The sequence below is a fragment of the Homo sapiens genome, chromosome 19 (genome assembly GCF_000001405.40).
Source record: "Homo sapiens chromosome 19, GRCh38.p14 Primary Assembly".
Taxonomy (NCBI): Eukaryota; Metazoa; Chordata; class Mammalia; order Primates; family Hominidae; genus Homo; species Homo sapiens.
The window spans coordinates 37,080,577-37,104,373 of NC_000019.10; the positions used below are offsets into that span (position 1 = coordinate 37,080,577).

A 23,797-nucleotide genomic window follows, 5' to 3' on the forward strand; every position below is an offset into this window, starting at 1 on the left:
AGAATGGATTTGAGACTCATGGATTTAAAAAGGGGAAGAGAGAAATAGCTCTATTGTGTTATTTAAAAAGGGAAAGAGCTCTATTGTGTTATTTCTGATACAGCACCATTTTGATTTTTTAACTTTTTTTAGCTTGTTATGGAAAGTTTCAAATGTACACAAAAGTATAATGAATATGCCTAGCTTAAAAACGATCACGGCCAGGTGTGGTGGCTCATGCCTATAATCCCAGCACTTTGGGAGGCCGAGGCGGATGGAACGAGGTTAGGAGATCGAAACCATCCTGGAAAAAGGTGAAACCCCGTCTGTACTAAAAATTAAAAAAAAAAAATTAGTTGGGCGTGGTGGTGGATGCACATAGTCCCAGCTACTCGGGAGACTGAGGCAGGAGAATGGCGTGAACCTGGGAGGCAGAGCTTGCAGTGAGCCGAGATTGCGCCACTGCACTCCAGCCTGGGCAACAGAGCGAGACTCTGTCTCAAAAAAAAAAAAAAAAAAGCGATTACTTTCCAATCTTGTTTCATTTATTCTACCTTCAGTTCAAAATCCTTTCTAATTTGCCCCTTTGATTTCTTGACTTATAGGTTATTTTGATGTGTCATGTTTTCAAATATTTTGAGGATCTTCCAGAGATCTTTTGTTACTGATTTCTAATTTCATTACATTGTGTTCACAGAATATACTTCATATGATTTTAATCCTTTTAAATTTATTAAGATTTGTTTTATGACCCAGAATTTGATGCATCTTAGTAAATGTTCCATGTGCACTTGAAAAGACTATATTCTGTGGTTGTTGGGTGGAGTGTTCTATAAATGTCAACTAGGTCAGGTAGGTTGATAGTATTTTTTAAATCTTCCATATCTTTACTGAGTTTTTATTTGTTGGATTTTTCTCCTTGTAGTTTCTTTCAGTTTCTGCTTCATGTATTTTTTTTTTTTTTGAGGCAGAGTCTTGCTTTGTCACCCAGGCTGGAGTGCAGTGGCCCAATCTTGGCTCACTGCAACCTCCACCTCCCAGGTTCAAGCAACCTCCACCTCCCAGGTTCAAGTGATTCTCCTACCTTAGCCTCCCGAGTAGCTGGGAATACAGGCGGGCACGACCATGCCCAGCTAATTTTTGTATTTTTTTTTTTTTTTTTTTTTTTTTAGCAGAGATGGGGTTTCACCATATTGGCCAGGCTGGTCTCAAACTTCTGACCTCAGGTGATCTGCCCACCTCGGCCTCCCAAAGTGCAGGGATTACAGGTGTGAGCCACTGTGCCTGGCCTGCTTCATGTATTTTGATGCTCTGTTATTAGGTATAGAAAGGTTTTAGATTTTTACATCCTACTGGTGAATTGACCCCTTTATCATTAGGAAATGGTCTTCCTTGTCCCTCATAATATTCTTTGCTCCAAACATCTACTTTGCTTGATATTTAATGTAGCCATTCCAGCTTTCTTTTCATTAATATTAGCATTGTGTGTCTTTTTCTATCCTTTTTCTTTTAACCTGTTTGTGTTTGGTATTTCAAGTGCATTTCTTACAGGCAGCATGTAATTGGGTTTGTGTTTTTATTCAATTTGGCAATCTCCATTTTTTGTTGTTGTTGTTACTGTTGTTGAGACAGAGTCTCACTCTGTCACCCAGGCTGGAGTGCAGTGGTGTGATCTCAGCTCACTGCAACCTCTGCCTCCTGTGTTCAAGTGATTCTCCTGCCTCAGCCTCCCAAGTAGCTGGGATTACAGGCACACACCACCACACCCACCTAATGTTTTTGTACTTTTAGTAGAGACGGGGTTTTGCCATGTTGGCCAGGCTGGTCTCAAACTCCTGAACTCAGGTGATCTGCCTGCCTCGGCCTCCCAAATTTCTGGGATTACAGGTGTGAACAACCACACCCAACCAGCAATCTCTATCTTTTAATTGGAGTATTTAGTCCATTTATATTTAGTGTGATTATTGATATGGTTTGGTTCAAATCCATCATTTTGCCATTTGTTTTATATTTATCCCATCTGTTCTTTATTTCCTGTTCTCCCTTTTCTGCCTTCTTTTGGATTGAGACAGAGTTTCAAAATAACAATACCAATATTTTAACCAACCATATGAATATAGAAAAACAACATAAAGTCCTGTTGGAGTTTGACAGGATATAGCCCACTAGGGATCTATAATCAAATTACTGTGTTTAAAAGTCGTCTACAATAACACTTCTCGTATGGTTAAGCTGCCAGCTGGAAATGCAGTTATGCTCATTTGTTTTATATTGCTTTTCATGTTTAGGGATTGCTTTTCTCCCACTATGATTTAATTTTGTTTTAAAATTACATAACATATATCTAAAATCAAAAGTACAGAATAAGATGAATTTGAAGAAGTCTAGTGTCCATTTCTGTCCCCTCTACCTGCTCCTTTCTTCCCTCTATAGTAGCTGGGGCTACAGGCACGCGCCACCATGCCCAGCTAATTTTTTGTATTTTAGTAGAGACAGGGTTTCACCATGTTGGCCAGGATGGTCTCGATCTCCTGACCTTGTGATCCGCCCACCTCTGCCTCCCAAAGTGCTGGGATTACAGGCGTGAGCCACCATGCCTGGCCCCGTTTTTGCTTTTTTTTTTTTTTTATTTTAGTAATCCATCATACATAGTGATGTGCACTTCTCTGAAGTAGGGCATAGTATCTGGTTGTTTTCCTTTATGTGATGTTAACAGCCAGCTACTGACATCTTTATGTGAATATGTTATTTTATCAGTGGTTACAGAATTATATTCTAATTCTTCTGCATTTATTAGCTGGACTATATCTATAAAGGGAGCCATCCTTTCTCAATGTCTTGGTTACCTGAAGAATAGTTTATGCAAAAAGAAAAACTGGAATGAAAGATTGGTTTTTCTCTTATTATTTTTCAGCATCTTTCAAAGCTTATTCTGTGTTTTTCTTTTAAACTATTATTATTAACTTGTGTATTAAAACATATCTGTTATGTTTCGATCTGTGACAATAACTGTTCTTATTAATGCTCACATTGTTCCATGTATGGCAAGTGGAAGGTTTACCCTCTCTGATTTGTCTGCTTTTGGATTCCTTTTTATTCTTTTTGACATGACCCCAGTAGTCTTTGGCAGATTCCAGACTTTCCGTGCTGACAGAGTATTCCAGGCTCATTTTGTACAATTTCCTGTCCCAAACATAAAATCAGCCACTTCTTTATGGAGCCCTGGTTCCTTTTATAAGAAGTGCTTTTAAGAAGTCACAACAAGGATAGTAGGAACTCTCATTGCTCCTAGTTGTCATTGCTTATAGCCTTAACAGAGCTGGTGAAATACAAATTTTTTAGAAGGAGAAAAAAAATCCTGAGTGTATACTGATATTTCCAATTGAAATAAAAGATTATAGAGTTTTTCTTACTATCTTTGATTTTATATTTGTGTTTTATAATCTGAAAAAATCTTAATTCGTAATGATTAATGATATTAAGATTCTCACTGATATATGTGTGTGTATAATCATTTCAGGTTATATACATATATTACTTTTAGACTAACAATGCCAATATTATTAATAACAGTATAACTACTGAAAAACTCTAAGACATAACTTCATAAAGTTATAAACTCTTAAGACAACTTTGAAAAACAGTTTATAGTTATTTTGTTTGTAGGTTATATTGGGTCTAATGTCAAATGACTGTATTTTAAAGTTCCCGAAAATAATCACTTCCTTTATATGTTTAACCTTCCAGCTTTATGCACAGATAAGTTTGTTTCATTTTGCTTTTATTTCTTAGAGATTTTTTTTCATTTTGATTTAATTTTGTGATTATAGTTATAGAAAACATACTTGTGGTTCCAAAGTCAAATAGATTTGATTGGTAATACTTTATAACTTTGTTGTATGTCTGTCTTCCTAGAAGCTATTGAGCTGTAACTTTTTTCATGTAATATCTTTGTGAGGTTTTAGTATTATGGTTATTTGGCCTCAAAATGTAGAACAGACTGCTGTCTCCTTTTTCTGTTTTCTGAAAACGTTTGTGAAAGAACAGTATTATATCTGCCTTAAATATTGGTAGAATTTACCAGTAAAGCCATCTGGGCCTTCTCTGTGGACAGTTTATTTGTTTGTTTCTCACATTCAATTTCTTTAATATCCATGGGATGATTTGTATTTCTGTTTTTTCTTGTGTGAATTTTGGCAATTTTTGTTTTAAGGAATTTGTCTATATTGTTGAAATTGCCAAAATTATTGGCATAGAATTGTATTATCTTTTTAATTAAAGCCTTAAAAAATCTGTGGTCCAGTCTCCACTTTGGTAATATTTTTTTTTGAAAACTTGATAGGGGTTTGTAAACTGTATTAATCTTTTGAAAGAATTGATTTTTGAGTTTGTTGATATTCTCTATTGTAATCTACTTTATATTGTGGATTTTGTGCTTATTTTTATTCTTTCTTTTCTTCTTACTTTCAGCTTCACTTGCTCTTCTTTTTCCAGCTTCCTAAGGTGGGAGCCTAAATCATTTTTCTAACATAAGCATTTAACACTATTAATTTTCCTCTAAATACTGCTTTTGTTGCAGCTCACAGAATCTGATAAGTGTGTTTCCATTGTCACTCAGTTCGGCATATTTTTCAATGTCTTTTTGCATGGGTTATTTAGAAGTATGTTTAATTTCCAAATATTTGGAGATTCTTGTTACTAGTTTGTAATTTAATAATATGTGGACACTGACCACAGTATATTCTCTGTATAATTCAGTTTTTAAAATATTTACTGTTACTTGTTTTATGACCCAGCATCTGGTTTATTTTGATGACCTTTCCATACGCAGTTGTTAATGAAGAGTCTGACTCTTGCTAAAATCCTATGTGTGGGTTCTCAGGCTCCACCAGGTCATTCCTGGCAGGCCACACAGGGGAAAGGTGGCCTCCCCGCAGCAGACTTGGTGCACTTCTAGTGCATTACAGTCTCTAAAGGGAGTTGCAGTGCAGGACTCAGGCCTCCCAGACCAGCCATGCTGTTATGCGTGTTTACATTCCTAACCCAGGCACCTCCATTAGGAGGCCTCTTTATCAGGTGCCTCTGCCAAGAGGACATCCTAATCTAGGGGAGAGGGGAAACTTTGAAGACACTTTCTTTCCCCACTCTTAGTATCCGGTAGTTTTAATTTTTTTCTTTATTTCTTTTTTCTTTCTTCTCTTTTCTTTTTTTTTAACATATTTTTGGAGACAGGATATTGCTCTGTCGCCCAGACTGGAGTGTAGTGGCATGATCATAGCTCATTGCAGCCTTGAACTCCTGGACAGTTCAAGCAATCCTCCTGCCTCAGCCTCCCAAGTAGCTAGGACTACAGGTTTGCATCACAATGCCTGGCTGATGTTTTATTATTATTATTATTATTATTATTATTATTATTATTATTATTTTGTAGAGACAGATTCTTGCTATGTTGCCCAGGCTGGTCTCAAACTTCTGGCCTCAAGTAATCTTCCTGCCTCGGCCTCCCCAAGTGCTGGGGTTGCTTACAGGCATGAGCCACCGTGCCCAGCCAGGCCTCACTACTTTTTCACTCTTAGCCCTTCCCTTGTCTTCTTGTCCCCTGGTCCCAGTCCATAAAATGAATGATAGGAGCTTTTTGTTCTGCATTCCCTTAGCAGTGAGATGACTCACTTCTGCACTGATCCACATTTGCACTGATCTGCCTGACCCTCTCTGACCCTCTCCAGGTGCTATTTCATGGTTGGGGTTGGGGGAGTGAAACAGTGGAGTACTCAGCGCTTTCTCTGGGTTAGCCTCTTAAATTAAGTGACTACTAAGTGATTAAAGGCTGGTTGTGTTAATCACTTATTCCAACACCTTGCAGCTCAGTTCTCTTCAGCCCAGCTTGGCTTTTGGTAAGTGGGTGTGGTATTCTATTAATATATATTTATCATCTTGGCCAAGGTACTTGATATAGTGGTATGTAAATCCTCTATATTGTTATCGATTTTATTGTCTACTTGTTCTGTCAGTTACTGAGCAAAAGATTTTACAATTCCCAACTCTGTGGGTTTGTCTCTTTCTTCCTTTAGTACTGTCAATTTTTGCTTCACACATTTTGAAGCTTTGTTGTTAAATCTCTACATTTGGATTGCTGTCTTCTTGATGAGTTGATCCTCCTTATTGCTAGTATTTCTCTTTATCTTGAAGTCTATTTTGTCTTATACTAATATAGGCATACAAGCTTTCTTGTGATTAGAGTTTGATGGTGTATCTTCCCATTTTACTTTTAGCCCATCTTTATATTTAAAATGTGCTTCTTGTAAAGAGCATGTAGTTGGAACATGCATTTTTATCTTGTCTTGTTACCATTTTTTTATTGGAATGGTTGAACTATTATTAATACAATTTAGTTTAAGCTCTGCCATAGATGGGAGCATCCATATGTGGCTCTTAAGAAGAGCTTAGGGCCACATGTGGTGGCTTATACCTATAATCCCATCACTTTGGGAGGCTGAGGCAGGAGGATTGCTTGAGGCCAGGAGTTCAAGACCAGCCTGGGCAATGTAGCAAAACCTCATCCCAACAAAAAAAGTAAAAATTAGGTGAGTATGATGGCACATGCCTGCAGTCCTAGCTACTTCGAAGGCTGAGGAGGGAGGATTACTTGAGCCTAGGAGTTCAAGGTTACAGTAAGCTATGATCATACCACTGCACTCCAGCTTGGTTGAGAGTGAGACCCTGTCTCAAAAAAAAAAATAAATAAATAAATAAATAAATAAATAAATAAATAAATAAATAAAAATTAAGAGCTTGGCACTTTTTTGGAGTTTAGGTCTTTTAAATTTGTGCCCTCAGCTCTCTGATGAATTTAAAAGAAATTATGACTTTTCATCTTATCTGAATTATTTTTAGGTTGTTAGGATGGGCCCAAGTATCTCTTGCAGAAATCTATATGTTGAAGAAGTCAAATTTTCAGTTAAAAATGTATTGAGCACCTGTATCAATGATTCTCTGCAGGGGCAGTTATTCTCCCTAGAGGGTGTTTTGGAAATATATCTAGGTACTGTTGAATGTTAAAGTAAGTGGGTTGAGGGTAAAGACTTCTAGCTTTTTTGTTTGTTTGTTTGAGACAGAGTCTCACTCTGTCGCCCAGGCTGGAGTGCAGTGGCGCGATCTCGGCTCGCTGCAAGCTCCGCCTCCCGGGTTCACACCATTCTCCTGCCTCAGCCTCCTGAGTAGCTGGGACTACAGGCGCTCGCCACCACACCCGGCTAATTTTTTTTATTTTTAGTAGAGACGGGGTTTCACCATGTTAGCCAGGATGGTCTAGATCTCCTGACCTCGTGATCCGCCCGCTTCGGCCTCCCAAAGTGCTGGGATTACAGGCGTGAGCCACTGCACCCGGCCGATTTCTAGCTTTTGAAGGAGTGAGGTCTCGGATCTAGGTTAGAGATTACCCAACTTTTTCTGTAAAGGGCTAGACATTTCATATGGCTTTGCGGGCCACATGGTCTCTGCTGCAACTCTTCAGCTCTGCTGCTGTAGTGTGAAAGTAGCCAAAGGCACTATATAACTGAATGAGTATGGACGTATTCCAATAAAACCTTATTTACAAAATTAGTTGGTAGACAGTAGTTTGCCAAGTTATGATTTAGTTGTCCATCAGTGCATAACAAAAAATTGTCTGTGATTTGCAAAATTGAGAACCATACCTGGAAAAAATGTGTTTATGATTTTCCAGGTCTGGAATCTCTTACATAATGCATTTTGTGCATGACTTTTTCAATTTGCTGAATTTATCTACTTTCCTATTATTGGATGGTTTTACTATTAGCTGTATCTTCCAGGAATGCAACCATGATTTGATTGAGAAAAAGGCTCTACTTCGCTTAAGAAATTTACTGAGTTTTTTTTAACCATTTCAAAAAGTTATAGTATTGATGGCAATGCTAATTGTGTTATTTGTCTTGCCTATAGCAAATATGTATAGAAACCTCCATTTATAGATAATGCATTTCTATTTATTCTATACGTACACATGAACACACATATATTTAGCCTTTATTTCAAAATGTCAAATATAAAAGGTGTCAACAATACTTAGTTACATATTGTCATTTTATAAGTCTAAATTTCTTCATTATAAGTAATTGTAGGCATAAGCATTTAATTATTTGTGCCTTCTAATGTAGTTGTGTATGATCATAAATATATTGAAATATTAAGTTGTTCATTATCTCCATTTTTGACATCTATAGATGTGTCGTTATTACCTATGAGTTTCATTTCAGAAGTAGTAGAGACATTGTTATATTTTCTTTTTGTATATAGAAAGCATTGAGTTTGATCAAGTTAAGAACCACAACATATGTCTGTCCCCCTTAGTGTGTGTTTTGGGGGTGGGAGAAACAGGAAGAAAAGAACAACAAAGATAATTCCAACTGAATCATTTGTTACTTTGCAAAACACCTGGTCTCATGGTTCTGCTTTCTCCTCCGTAGCTCTGCATTCTCCAGACTCTGTGCTTTCCTAAGATAGGAACCCAGAAGAGGACTGATCATTTCTTGCAGCTCTAAAAACCATGGCTCGGGTAAATTGGAGTTTCCTTGTGCTCTTTTCACTTACTTTTTTACAGAGCATGTGTGTGTTTGTATTCCTTACTCCTGAAACTTCATTCCTAACTGACCTCACTCAGGAATGTGCTCCTCAGTTTGTCCCATTCTGATAAGTGATAGTGTCTTCCCTAAGTGTGTCTTTCGAATCTAACCTTTAGTCACATACTTACTCAACAATATGTATATTGTTCAGTAATCTTTGACTAGGAACACTGATCTAACAAAAGTAGAGTTCCCTGATTTCATAAGGTAGAGGAGGATGTTAAATGGCACCACACATGAAAACCTTTTGAACTTCTCTTTAGATCTAAGTTCCCAGGTAGACAAGACAGGAGTTGGTCTTGACTGGGCTCACTCTCAGTATGTGGCAAGCGCTCATGCTTTATGAGTTTTTAAGATTAGGAAGATGATTAGGGACTGAATACAGAGAGATCAGGGATCTTCCCCAGGAACATATAATTTAATATGGATCAATTTGAAATTCGACATTATGTGCTGGTCTTGAATGTATAAATTTGGATTATGTTTTTCACCTTTCTATTGTTTAGAATGATGAAAAGTTACATTTACGGATGAATGGTAAATATGATCATAGTGAAGATGATCATTCACCAGCAGAAGTTGTTGAGAATTATAAACTCTGAGAACCAAGAAATACTTACAAGATTTTTACAACCTAAAATGTTCAAATATGAGCACTTATTAAGTCAGACATATTCATTATATGGAGCTATTCTGTAGCCTATAAAATATTTACTAAATTATTGATGACAAGGAAAATGTTTATGATATAGTACTCTGATCTAATGGTGAATCTGGAGCTTCAATAAATTCTTTAATTTTATACAAATCTTATTTTATAAGGTTTTACAGAAAAATTTTACCATTTTGTTTATTCCTTAAATAATGAAGAGAGAAACTTACATTTATTGAGAATGTATGATACACAATATACATATTGTATAAAATGCTTGTGTATGCTACTTCTTTTAATTGGGACATTGCATTTATTTTATTCCCAGACTTATCTGTAAAGTAAGATGTTCTGTATGCAGAAAATATGTGTAGCAGGCCAGGTGCAGTGGCTCACACCTATAATCCCAGCACTTTGGGAGGCCTAAGCCTTAAGGCCAGGAATTCAAGACTAGCCTGGGCAACATAACAAGACCCCTGTCTCTACAAAAAAATTGGAAAATTATCAGGGCACAGTGGCATGTACTGTGAGTGGCACGTACTGTGGTCTCAACTACTCAGGAGAATGAGACAGGATCACTTAAGCCTAGGAGTTGGAGGCTGCAGTGAGCTATGATGGTGCCACTGCACTCCAGCCTGGATGACAGAGCAAGACCCTGTCTCCAAAACAACAACAACAAAACTATAGCAATAGGAATAATCAGGAACATATTTGTACTTTTCAGCCCATGTGCTCTGTTGCTTCCTTTGTGGAGGGATCTTCATCTCCCTCTCCATTGAAAAAGTATTTTTTTGGCCGGGCACAGTGGCTCACACCTGTAATCCCAGCACTTTGGGAGGCCTAGTCGGGTGAATCACAAGGTCAGGAGTTCGAGACTAGCCTGGCCAAGATGATGAAACCTTATCTCTACTAAAAATACAAAAATTAACTGGGCGCAGTGGCAGGTGCCTGTAATCCCAGCTACTCAGGAGGCTGAGGCAGGAGAATTGCTTGAACCTAGGAGGCGGAGGTTGCAGCGTGCCGAGATCGCGCCACTGCACTCCAGCCTGAGCGACAGAGCAAGACTCCATCTCAAAAAAAAAAAAAGAAAGAAAAAAAGAAAAGCATTTTTTAAATTTCCAAAATTAACATTTTGTTTGTTGTTTCAGAAATTAGTGATGTTCAGGGATGTTGCCATTGACTTCTCTCAGGAAGAGTGGGAATGCCTGGACTCTGCTCAGAGAGATTTGTATAGAGATGTGATGTTGGAGAACTATAGCAACTTGGTATCACTAGGTAAGGAATCTAGCCTTCATATTTCAGGATCTACCTTTGGATTGGCTGCTTTCTCTGCTGTTATTTCAAATTTCCTTTTTAAGTAATTAACTGAATTTCTTATTCTTTTCAAAGGAGGAGTTTGAAATTACTGGAAGTAGACATGGTTTCTCAGGGCACCTTTATCTTTTCCATCCTTCAAAAAGCCTTACCACTGCCTTCTAATACCATCTTCCCTGATGAACAAAGGGCTAGATTTGAAGTTTGGGATACTTGGAATATTGGCAGATAAAACAGCCTATACATTGTTACACTTTAGATCTGCTAAAGGAGCTCTAAATAATTCACACGCCCAGTCACAGATTTAAAAAATAGATGCAGAGATGTATGTTTTTTCTGATAAAAGAGTTTACATCATTTGTATAGTGATAGAGTAGATCAATGCATTTCACCAACAACTCAAATGAAGACAACCCATTAATTAGAACAAACACATTGTCTTATATGTGCTTGGTAGTTGAATATTACATATTAAGAACTTTGGGCTGGGCTCGGTGGCTCACGCCTATAATCCCGGCACGTTGGGAGGCCAAGGTGGGTAGATCACCTGAGGTCAGGAGTTCAAGACTAGCCTGGCCAACATGGCGAAACCCCATCTCCACTAAAAATACAAAAATTGAGCTGGGCATGGTGGTGTGTGCCTGTAATCCCAGTTACTCAGGAGATTGAGGGAGGAGAATTGCTTGAACCCATGAGGTGGAGGTTGCAGTGAGCTGAGATCACATCACTGTACTCCTCCAGCCTGGATGACAGAGCGAGACTCCATCTCAAAAAACAAAAAAAAAAGAACTTGCATTGGACATTGAATGAATATGCTAGAATCATCTTTTATTGTAAAATAGTTGAGGGGGAACCTGTGATTGTCTAAGAAACTTTATTGTTTTCTTCTGTAGTATTTTTATATGAAACAAAATCCGTATCAATTACAACTTTAATAAGTGATTTTCCAACCTACATGATAACTTTATTCCTTGTGCTGGAATAAACTGTCTCTTGCCTCTTCCTTCCTTTCTCCTCTGAAGCCTTTAGGAAGTCAGTGATTAACACATGTCCCTAGAGGACCCAAGTGGTGTGGAAAAAAACCTATGACTTGAGGAGAAAAGCAAGGGTTTTTCACCATGATCTTCCTAAAGACTCTTACCTAATTTCTACTGCGTCCTTTCCCTGTTGGTTTTTATTATCATTCTTCCCACTTTCAAAAGAGGGAATGGTTGGCCGGGCGCGGTCTTGTATGTGCTTGGTAGTTGAATATTACATATTAAGAACTTTGGGCTCGGCTCGGTGGCTCACACCTGTAATCCCAACACTTTGGGAGGCCGAGGAGGGCGGATCACCTGAGGTCGGGAGTTCGAGACCAGCCTGACCAACATGGAGAAACCCCGTCTCTACTAAAAATACAAAAAATTAGCCGAGCATGGTGGCGCATGCCAGTAATCCCAGCTACTCTGGAGGTTGAGGCAGGAGAATCGCTTGAACCTAGGAGGCAGAGGTTGCAGTGAGCCGAGATTGTGCCACTGCACTCCAGCCTGGGCGACAGAGGGAGACTCTGTCTCAAAAAAAAAAAAAAAGTGCAAATTAAAACCACAATGATATAGTTATTTCACATGCTATAAATTGGCAGCTTGACAGTACCAGGCATTCTCAAGATTTGAAGGCAGAAGTGCACTATATCTTGATATTCACAATAGCCAAAAAGTGGGAACAACCCAAATGTCCATCAACTAATGAATGGATAAAATTTGGTATTTTCTTAAAACGAAATATTATTCAGCAATAAAAAGGAATGAAGTTCTGATACATGCTTTAACATGGATGAACCTTGGAAACATGCTATAAAGAAATACCCGAGGCTGGGTAATTTATAATAAAAAGAGATTTACTTAGCTCATGCTTCTGGAGGCTGTACGAGCATAGCACTAGTGTCTGCTTGGCTTCTGGTGAGGTCCAGGAAGCTTTTAGTCATGGTGGAAGGGAGGGGGAGTCGGTGTGTCACTGGCAAGAGAGGGGGCAAGAGAGAGAGGAGGAAATTCAGGCTCTTTTAAACAACCACATCTCGCGTGAACTCATAGCGTAAGAACTCACGACAGAGTCTTGCTCTGTCGCCCAGGCTAGAGTGCAATGGCCCAATCTTGGCTCACTGCAACCTCCTTCTCCTGGGCTCAAGCGATTCTCCTTCCTCAGCCTCCCCAGCAGCTGGGATTACAGGCACCTGCCACCACACCCAGCTAATTTTTGTATTTTTAGTAGAGATGGTATTTCACCTTGTTGGCCAGACTGGTCTCAAACTCCTGACCTCGTGATCCGCCCACCTCCCTCCCAAAGTGCTGAGACTACAGGCGTGAGCCAGTGCACCCGGCCAAGAACTCACTCTTTACCACAAAGATGGCACGAAGCTATTCATGAGGGATCCACCCCCATGATCCAAACACCTCCCACCAAGCCCCACCTCTGACACTGGAGATTACATTCAATGTTAGATTACATCAACATGAGATTTGGAAGGGACAAACATCCAAACTATATCCCATGCCAAGTGAAAGAAGCCAAATACAAACACTGCATATTATATGATTGCATTTATATGAAACGTCCTCAATAGGGAAATCTATACTGACAGAAAGTAGGTTACTGGTTACCCAGCACTGGGGATGGGGAAGAGGTAGAACAGATGGAGAATGGGGAGTGGGGAGATGAGAAGTGACTGCTAATGAACACAGACAGCATTTCTCTTGGGGGTGAAAAAATGTTTAAAAATTAGATTGTTGTGATTGTTGCACATCTCAGTGGGTATACTAAAAGCCACTGAATTGTGCAGAAATAATATGGAAATGGTTGCCAAACTTGTGTGTACTTTAGAAATAGCTACGGTCTTTTAAAAAATTCCACAGCCCAGGCCACACCCCAGACCAATTAAATAATAATTTCTAGGCATGGTACATGAGTATCATATTTTTTGAAATTCTCTAGGTTTTTCAAATGTTTAGCCATGTTTGATAACCACTGCACTGTGGTATTATCTGAGAATTTTTTTTAATTGAATGTTCACTCCATTTAATTTATTACCAATATACTTGGATTTATTTATCCCCTATTTTATGCTTTTTGTTTCCTCTTTTTATCTTACGGGCTTAAAAAACTTTCTCCCTCCTTAATGAGGGTGGATACAATCGTGTTTTATTTTTTGCAACTCCATTTTCCCCCTTGTTTTGTTTGGAAAACGTACAGTATTTATTTATTTTTAAAAGTTATCTTTAAATTTTTATCATGTGTACCTAATTCCTTTTAATGTCAATGGTATTTTATAGTTTTTATTGATTGTAATTGTGTCTGAAAATTATATATTTAATGGACATTATATATTTTGATGGATACTAAAACATATTTATTCAGTCCACATACAATATTTGGTTTGCATATTGCTTTGCAATAAACTTGCTCTATCTCCACCCCTAGGATTTCAAGGCCAGCAAGTTGAAAAACAGACATATAAATAATAGTATCTACTGTGAAATAAATTGGTAACCTTTGTGGCAATTAGTTGAGGTTCTAAGGAGAGATAAGAAATTGACATCTCTATGTCAAATATATATTTTATTGTCACAGAATTCTTATCAGAAGTATACCAGCAATGTATATCTATTATATACTTTATCAACAGTGGCTATTAGCACGTAGAAATATCTTTGTTAAGGCCAGGCGCGGTGGCTCACGCCTGTAATCCCAGCACTTTGGGAGGCTGAGGCGGGCAGATCACGAGGTCAAGAGATCAAGACCATCCTGGCCAACATGATGAAATCCCATCTCTACTAAATATACAAAAATTCGGTAGGTGTGGTGGCACATGCCTGTAATCCCAGCTACTCAGGAGGCTGAGGCAGGAGAATCGCTTGAACCTGGGAGGCGGAGGTTGCAGTGAGCTAAGATCGCGCCACAGCACTCCAGCCTAGTGATAGAGAGAGACTCTGTCTCAAAAAAAAAAAAAAAAAAGAAATATCTTTGTTGATTTGTAGATGAAAAACAGAAGAACATTTCTGCCATTGCCGGTGAATTTAAATACTTTGGGGGTATTTCTGCCTGTTTTGGTACTTTAGTAATTATCATTATTGTTTGTGTCACTTGACAAATACATGCTTAATTTAGTGAAGTCTAAAATTCATGTCTAACTTTCCTTAAGATAATTAAAGGATATTGAAATGCTTTAACTTTGATCTGTTTCTCCAATCTGGTATTGTTGTCTGGTATTTTAGTTCTGTTCTTTTTTTAACCTACAAAATGGGCATTATTTTTGTTTCATAATGGCAATGTTTGCTTGTGGATTTGTTGATGTAATTATCTTTTATTTGTATGCTATTCCTCTTTCATTATACCTTCCTTCTGGGATATTTTATTTATCATGAAATACATTAGGGAAGGCTTATTGGTTTTATTTTTTTCTTTTCTTTTCTTTTCTTTTTTGAGATGGGGTCTCATTCTTGTTGCCCAGGCTGTAGTGCAGTGGCGCAATTTCGGCTCACTGCAACCTCCGCTTCCCAGGTTCAAGCGATTCTCCTACTTCAGCCTCCCCAGTAGCTGGGATTACAGGCGCCCGCAGCCAAGCCCAGCTTATTTTTTAATTTTTAGTAGAGACGGGGTTTCGCCATGTTGGCCAGGCTGGTCTCGAACTCCTGACCTCAGGTGATCCACCCACCTCCACCTCCCAGAGTGCTGGGATTACAAGTGTGAGCTACCACCCCCGGCCTGTCTTATTGTTAATAAATGCTCTAAGTGTTTGTTTTTGTCATTGTTGCAAAATAACCTTGTTTCACTGTCATTCTTGCCTGATGATTTAACTAGGTATAAAATTCTATACTGACAATTATTTTTTTCTCAGCACTCTGAAGATATTATTCCACTGTCCTCTGGCTTCTATTGTTGCTCTTGAGAAGTCTGCCATCTGTTTCATTGTTATTCCTTTTGTAAGTAATCTGTATTTTCTCTGGCTGCTTTTAAGATTTTTTTCTTTAAGATTTAAATGTAATTGATTATATTGTTTCACTTCTAGATGTTTGATGTTCTCCCCCTCTCCCAGATCTTTTTTTTTTAAGCTCATCCCTTTCTCATGGTTTTTATCTTATACTTTCATATATTTCCAGCACTTATGTGTCATACAATCCCAATTTCTGGGAAACAGGTCTAATTTTGCTGTTTCTTGTATCCATGGGGACTCTTGTGTAATGATGAATTATCCATAGCACTTTTTTTCTCCTTTTCTTTGAGAGTCCAGGCCAAGACTGAAAAGTCCCTTGTCATTTTCCTTTAAGGTTTGCTGGATTTGTTTTTCTTTCTCTGAACTTTATGTCTTGAATATTTCCAATTTTGTAAAGAGGTTTGTTTGTAATCCCTGCTCTTTTGTTGAGGAAAGGTCTTGTCTGTTCAGTTTTTTCAGACCATTAATATACAAACATCTAGGTAATTAAAATCAACAAATATCCCAAGGGTAACTGTAACTTCAGAGCATATTTACTCCATCTACTTTCTGGTTCCTACTTCATTGTAGCACCCCTGGATCTTGTTTACTTTCTTTTATGCTTCACATACTTTTAAAAGGACATCTGTCATATTTTTCCAGTATTTGTTAGTGTTTTTTAAGAAATCGGATGCACCATTTACATATTAACAATATTGAATCCTTTTATTGTTCAGCATGCTAAATCTGCTTTTCTTTTTATGTTCTCTGTAAAGTTTCATGGTTTTTTCTTATTCTTTTTTTTTTTTTTGAGACAGAGTCTCGCTGTGTCACCCAGGCTGGAGTGCAGTGGCGTGATCTCGGCTCACTGCAACCTCCGACTCCCCAGTTCAAGGGATTCTCCTGCCTCAGCCTCCCAAGTAGCTGGGACTACAGGCACCTGCCACCACACCCAGATAATTCTTGTATTTTTAGTAGAGACAGGGTTTCACTATGTTGGCCAGGCTGGTCTTGAATTCTTGACCTTGTGATCTGCCTGCCTCGGCCTCCCAAAGTGCTGGGATTAGTTTCATGGTTTTTTCTTAAAAGATCTTGCACATTTCTTAAGCAATTTCTCAGTACATTTTGTTTATAATATGAATAGGAATATTTTGTTCTGTAACATTTTCTAAATGGCTAATACTGATATATATTATATATGAGAAAGTATTGATTTCTATAAATTGAAAATCTTATGGAAATATAGTTTTTCAGTGGATTATAGTGGATTTCTAGGTGGACAGTTTTGCTCTCTACATACAATATGTGGTCTCTTCCTTTTCTGTTTGTACCTTTAAAAAAAGGCAACTAAATTCAGTAGGACCCTGTAGCGGAATTTGAAAACAAATCATTCTTATCTTTTCTCAAACTTTATTGGCAGTGTTTCTAATGTTTAACTATTAAATGTATTTCTATAGACATCTGGTAGATACTCTTAACTAGGTTTTTACCTAATTCCAGTTTTAGAGAACTTTTAATAAAAGGTCTTAGAATATATTAAAAATTTTTTTGCATTTCTTGAAATCATGCTATTTTATTCTTTAAGTTCTTTATGTGGGAAAATGGACTCTGATGTTGAATTATTCCTGCATTTGTGGGATAAAGTTTATATGATCATGATGTGTTATGCCTTAAATACACAGCTAGATTCTATGTTCCTAATATTTTCTTTTAAAATTTTACCTTTGTTCACGAGATTGGCTTCGTTTTCCTAAGGTCATTTTTCAATGCTGTTATACTAGTTAATTTAACTTTGTAAAATGACTAGGGTAGATTACAATATTTTTATATGTTCAACAACAGTTATGTACGATTGGAATTATATATCCTTTTTTCTTTTTTTTGAGACAGGGTCTCCCTCTGTCACTTAGGCTGGAGTGCAGTGGCCTGATCACAGCTCACTGCAGCCTCCACCTCCCTGAGCCCAGGTGATCCTAGTTGAGACTACAGGCATGTGCCACCATGCCTGGCTAATTTTTGTAGTTTTTGTAGAGATGAGGTTTTGCCACATTGCCCAGACTAGTCTCGAACTCCTGGGCTCAGGCAATCTACCTGCCTTGGCCTCTCAAAGTGCTGGGATTACAGGTATAAGCCACCACACCCGGCCTATATATTCTTTAATGTTTGGATAATATTGCCAGTAAACCTACCAGTCACTGGAATCTATTGCCTTGAATATTAGATATAATAGGTACTATGACCAGCAGATACAAATGATCATCAGTCATAGGTATCTATTGCCTTTTAGGAGCACAGACACTGAGCTCAAATTTAAATTTTTTATGTGGTTATTGCTGTATATCAGTTATTATATCTTCATGGGTTATTTTTCATGTTTTTCATCTGTTTCATCCAGTTCTAATTTACTGTTGCGTTAATAGGTTTTTTCATAAACACTTTTAAAAGTTTTGTTTTATTTTAGTTGAAACATAATGCACATATTTATGGGCTACCATGTGATGTTTTATACATATGTGTATTGTGTAATTATCAAATCAGGATAATTAGCATATCTGTCACCTCAAACACTTGTCATTTCTTTGTGGTTAGGACATTCAAGATGCTCTCTTCTAGCTATCTGCAGGCATTCAGGACATTTTTGTTGACTATATAGTCACCTTATTGTGCAATAGTACATCAGAACTTATTTCTCCTATCTAACTATAACTTTGTACCCATAGACCAATCTCTTCCCAGCCACCCCCTCAGCATCTGGTAACCACTGTTCTACTCTCTACTTATATGAGATCAACTTTTTTAGGTTCCACATATGAGTGAGATCATGTGATATTTGTCCTGTTCTTGGCGTATTTCACTTAATATAATGTCCTCTAGCTTCATCCAAGTTGTCAAAAATAACAGGATTTTATTCATTTTTATAGGTTAATAGTATTCTATTCTGCATATATACCACATTTTTGAAAATCCATTTATCTTTTGATGGACACTGAGTTCGAGTCCATGTTATTGCTATTGTGGATAGTGCTGCAGTAAACATGGGAATGCAGATGCCTCTTTGACATACTGATTTCCTTTCCTTTGGATGTATACCCAGTAGTTAGATTGTTGGATCATATGGTAGTTCTATGTTTACTTTTTTGAGAAACCTCCATACTATTTTCCATAATGGCTGTGCTAATTTACATTCCCACCAAGAGTGTGTAAGAGTTCCCCCTTTTTCCACATTTTTACCAGCATTTGTTATCTTTTGTCTTTTTAATAGCCATTCTAACAGCAGTGAGGTGATATCTGATTGTAGCTTCGATTTGCATTTCCCTATAATTAGTGATATTGAGCATTTTTTCATTTACCTGTTTGCCATTTGTATGTCTTGAGAAATGCCTATTCAAATCTTTTGACTATTTTTTAATCAGATTATTTGTTTTTTTGCTGTTGAGTTGACTTTCTTATATATTCTTGGTATTAACACCTTATTAGATGCATAGTTTGTGAATATTTTCTTCCATTCTGTAGGTTGTCTCTTTTTTGTTTGCTTTGAGATGGAGTCTCGCTCTGTCACCCAGGCTGGAGTGCAGTGGTGCAATCTCGGCTCACTACAACCTCCGCCTGCCAGGTTCAAGTGATTCTCTTGCCTCAGCCTCCAGAGTAGCTGGGACTACAGGCACATGCCACCACGCCCGGCTAATTTTTTGTATTTTTAGTAGAGACGGTGTTTCACTGTGTTAGCCAGGATGGTCTCAGTCTCCTGACCTTGTGATCTGCCCGCCTGGGCCCCCCAAAGAGCTGGGATTATAGATGTGAGCCACCATGCCCAGGCTGTAGGTTGTCTCTTTACTCTCATTTCCTTTGCTGTACAGAAGCTTTTTACTTTGATGTAGTATGTTTATCTGTTTTTGCATTTGTCAGTGCTTTTGAGGTATTATTAAAAAATCCTTGCCCAGATCAGTGTCTGTTTCCCTGTGTTTTCTTCTACTGGTTTCATAGTTTCCAGTCTTACATTTAAGTCTTTAATCCATTTTGAGTTGAGTGGTGAGACAGGGGTCTAGTTTCATTCTTTTGCAGGTGGATATTCAGTTTTCCCAGCAACATTTACTGAAGAAAGTATCCTTTTCCCAATGTGTGTTCTTGGCCTTCTTGTTGAAAATCAGTTGGCTGCAAATACTTGGATTTTTTTTTTCCTGGGTTCTCTATCCTGTTCCATTTGTCTATGTGTCTGTTTTCATGCCAATACCATACTGTTTGGTTACTATTGTTTTGTAGTATATTTTCAAGTCATGGAGTTTGATGCCTCCAGCTTGGTTCTTTTTGTACAAGATTGCTTTGGCGGCCTGGCGCAGTGGCTCACACCTGTAATCCTAACACTTTGGGAGGCTGAGGCAGGTGGATCACCTGAGGCCAGGAGTTTGAGACCAGCCTGGCCAACATGGCGAAACCCCATCTCTACTAAAAATACAAAAAATTGCTGGGTGTGGTGGCAGGCGTCTGTCATCCCAGCTACTCAGGAGGCTGAGGCAGGAGAATCACGTGAACCTGGGAGGTGGAGGTTGCAGTGAGCCAAGAGTGTGCCATTGCACTCCAGCCTGGGCGACAAGAGCAAAACTCCATCTCAAAAAAAAAAAATTGCTTTGGCTGTTTGGGGACTTTTGTGGTTCCATATGAATTTTAGGATTCTTCTTTGTATTTCTGTGCAGTGTCATTGGTGGTATTTTGATAGGGATTGCATAGCATTTGTAGATTGTTTTGGGTAGTATGGACATTTTAACAATGTTAATTCTTCTGATCCATGAACATGGAAAATATTTCCACTTATTAGTTTCCTCTTTAATTTCTTTTGTCAATGTTTATAGTTCTCATTGTAAAACTCTTGCCTCTTTGGTTAAATTTATTCCTTTTTTTTTTTTTTTTGCTATCTATTATAAATGGGATTGATTTCCTTTTCACAGTTTCCTGTTGGCCTATGGAAATGCTACTTATTTTTGTACATTGATTTTGTCAGTCATTAGCACCTTATTTTGTTCATTTGTTGAGCTCATATTTTCCTGAATGTTCTTGATGTTTATGGACACGTGATGTCTGTGCACTGAGCAATTTATTCAAGAGTTTGCAGGCCGGAACCTGGTATCTCACGCCTGTAATCCCAGCACTTTGGGAAGCTGAGGCGGGTGGATCACCTGAGGTCAGGAGTTCAAGACCAGCCTGACCAATATGGTGAAACCCCATTTCTACTAAAAATACAAAAATTAGCTGGCCATGGTGGTGTGTGCCTGTAGTCCCAGCTACTCAGGAGGCTGAGACAGGAGAATTGCTTGAACCCTGGAGGCAGAGGTTGCAGTGAGCTGAGATCATGCCACTGCACTCCAGCCTGGGCAGCAGAGCAAGACTCCATCTCAATCAATCAATCAGTCAATCAATCAAGTTCACAGTCTAGCTTTGTTTGTGCCCATCCTTCTTCCAAAGGCCTTCCAGACATTCTAAGCAGACTATCTATCTGTTGTATTCCCTTGAGCCTGTAACCACTGCATCCATCTCAGCATTAAAGGGCATTAAGCCCAGGCTTCCTGCTAGCCTTGCAAGGGCTCCAAGGTTGTTGTGGCTCTCCACCTGGGTGGACCTAGAGAAAACCCAAGAAGGATACTGGTGCTGTATGGGAGTCCAGACAGGGACCTGAGCCCAGAAGACTGTCCTGGTGGCCCAGATGGGTGTGCCTTCAGCAGGTCCTTGCACAGGCAAGATAGGTCTCTAATTACAGTGAGAGGGCTGGAGCTGAGACTGGGCCCCCTCAGGATTTGCTGTCCTACAGGACAGAGGCTGGCAAGCCTATCTTGTTGGCTTAGACAGGTGTACATCTCCCAGCATGTCTCTGCACAGATGGGGTAGTTCTATGACTGCAACAGGAGGGGCTAGAGCTTAGACTGGGCCCTCTCGGGATCTGCTGTGGGACAGAGGCTTCCATGCACAGATGGAATAGTTCCCTGACTGCAGTGGGAGGTGCTGGAGCTGAGCCTGGACCCCCTGAGGATGTGCTATGGGATGGCAGCTGATGAGCCCATCTCAGCCCACATGGGTGTGTCTCCCACCGTGTCTACACGGAGGGGATAGTTCTCCAGTTATTGCAGGAGGGCCCAAGGCAAAGACTGGGCTTCCTCAAGGTCTGCTGTGGGACAGAGGTTGGTGAGCCCATCGTGAAGACTCCAACTCCCAAACCATGAGATACGGATGAATCTTACTCTGGATCCTTGTATGAGCGGTTCTGAGCTGGCACCCCCAGCTGAGGAGGCTGGAGCTAAGCCACAGAGCAACTGTGAGGTTCACTACCAGGACTGTTGTCAGCAGGCATAAGAGACTCTCCACCTAGACACTAGTGTGCATGATTCCTCCTGGACCTTTAGGCAGATGGTTTTGATTGCACGCCCAAGGCCAAATGGGGCTGTAGCCAAGCCCTCTGGGGAATGGGGCCATTTTCAAGCTTTGAACATGGGATCAGCATGGGAGATCAGCCACCTGCGTGCCAGTCTGCACTCTCAAAATGACTTTCCTAGGTCTTGGGCTTTACTCAAGTTTTACAACCTCCTACCTGAATTCCAAAGCTTCTGCAAAGAGACTTTTATCTGTGGATGGGTGCAGAATTCTCGTGAGGGGATATGAGTGGGTTACCTCCTATTTCTGCCATCTTGCTGACGTCACTCCCATAATCTCTCATAAACACTTTTTAACTCCTCAATTTATGGTTACCTTTTTCTCTCCAGTGCTTTGGATTTGTGCTAAATCTAATTTTTTTCTACACGTCACTTTTTTTGTATTATTTATGGATATTTTCAAATAATTTTGGTATTTTGATTTTGCTAATTATTTCTGCTGTTTCTACGTTTCTAATTTACTCATTTTCTGATTTTTTATCTCACTTATATTTTGGTTTTTAGTTATGCTTTTTGCTCACTTCTTCTTGAGGTGAAATCTTAATTCTCTTAACTATAGTATTTCTTGTTTTTTAATAAATGCACTTAAGACTGTAAATTTCCCTGGGTACAATTTTAGCTGATTTCTTGGGATTTCACACAAAGTTTCTTTTGCTATTTGGCTCTAAATTGTTTTAAAATTTTATTTTTATTTCCTTCTATAACAAACATCATATAGAATTGTCTTAGTAACTTAATTCTAGGATTATATGTTTTTTCTATGTTTTTATAATTTTTAGTTTTATGCTAATGTGATAATTAAAAACATTTTATGTCAGTTTTATCTATCTTCCTATATTACTAATTATGTTATAGTCTTCCTTGTTTTTATTTCTGGTCTGTTTATATTCTATTCTCTACTATGACGGTGATTAATTTCTCTATATGTCTGCTAGTTTTTGTTTATTTAGGAGCTAAGTTGTTGGTTACATAATGGTCATGACTATTCATCCTCTTGCCTGGCTCTTAGATGATGTCCCTGAGCTGATCTCACTGAGAAAACTGAAGCTAGCAGAAGAGAAGAGAGATTCTTGCTTCCTTGTCTGTTTACCTACCTTCATCTATACTAATTCAACCTCTTTTCCTATTAACATGTAACCTTTTTGTGCCTTTACTTAAGCCCAGTACCCTCACTTGTATACTGAATTCCATTCCTTCTCATATTTTTAAGGACACTGTTGAAGCAATTGCCCTTTGTCTCTTCTAACATGAACTTGTCCATATCTTTTACAATAATTTTCATCAGCATACAAACATGCCTTAATTTCTTCTATCTTAAAAGGAAAAAAAACAAAACCAAATATTTTGACACACATTTTCCTCTTGATATAGCTCCATTTCTTTGCTACTTTTTACAGAAAAATACAAAAGAATTTTCCATATTCCCTAACTCCAGCTCTTCTCTCATTTTTTTTTTGTCTTTTTTTTTTTTTATTATACTTTAAGTTCTAGGGTACATGTGCACAACGTGCAGGTTTGTTACATATGTATACATGTGCCATGTTGGTGTACTGCACCCATTAACTCGTCATTTACATTAGGTATATCTCCTAATGCTATTCCTCCCCCCTTCCCCCTCCCCCGACCCCACAACAGGCTCCATTGTGTGATGTTCCCCTTCCTGTGTCCAAGTGTTCTCATTGTTCAATTCCCACCTATGAGTGAGAACATGTGGTGTTTGTTTTTTTGTCCTTGAGATAGTTTGCTAAGAATGGGTTTCCGGCGTCATCCATGTCCCTACGAAGGACATGAACTCATCCTTTTTTATGGCTGCATAGTATTCCATGGTGTATATATGCCACATTTTCTTAAT

General features: G+C 38.6%; 1 protein-coding gene across 22 annotated transcripts in view; it reads left to right on the forward strand.

Moving 5' to 3' along the window:
* The window catches only part of ZNF420 (zinc finger protein 420), a 122,467-nt gene that overhangs the window by 72,675 nt on the left and 25,995 nt on the right, over positions 1-23,797 (forward strand). For 9 of the 22 annotated variants that reach the window (XM_011526503.3, XM_011526504.3, XM_006723038.4 and 6 more), the window contains 2 exons: positions 8,463-8,551; positions 10,419-10,545. The exons of 4 other annotated variants lie outside the window; for them this stretch is intronic. In XM_011526503.3, the coding sequence (XP_011524805.1) occupies positions 8,543-8,551; positions 10,419-10,545 (136 nt within the window). In that variant the 5' untranslated portion in view covers positions 8,463-8,542. Of the gene's footprint in view, positions 1-4,449; positions 4,483-8,462; positions 8,552-10,418; positions 10,546-15,454; positions 15,540-16,347; positions 19,472-23,797 lie in introns of those variants that run through there. 9 more of the 22 variants (NM_001329517.1, NM_001329519.1, NM_001329521.3 and 6 more) reach the window with 5 other exon arrangements.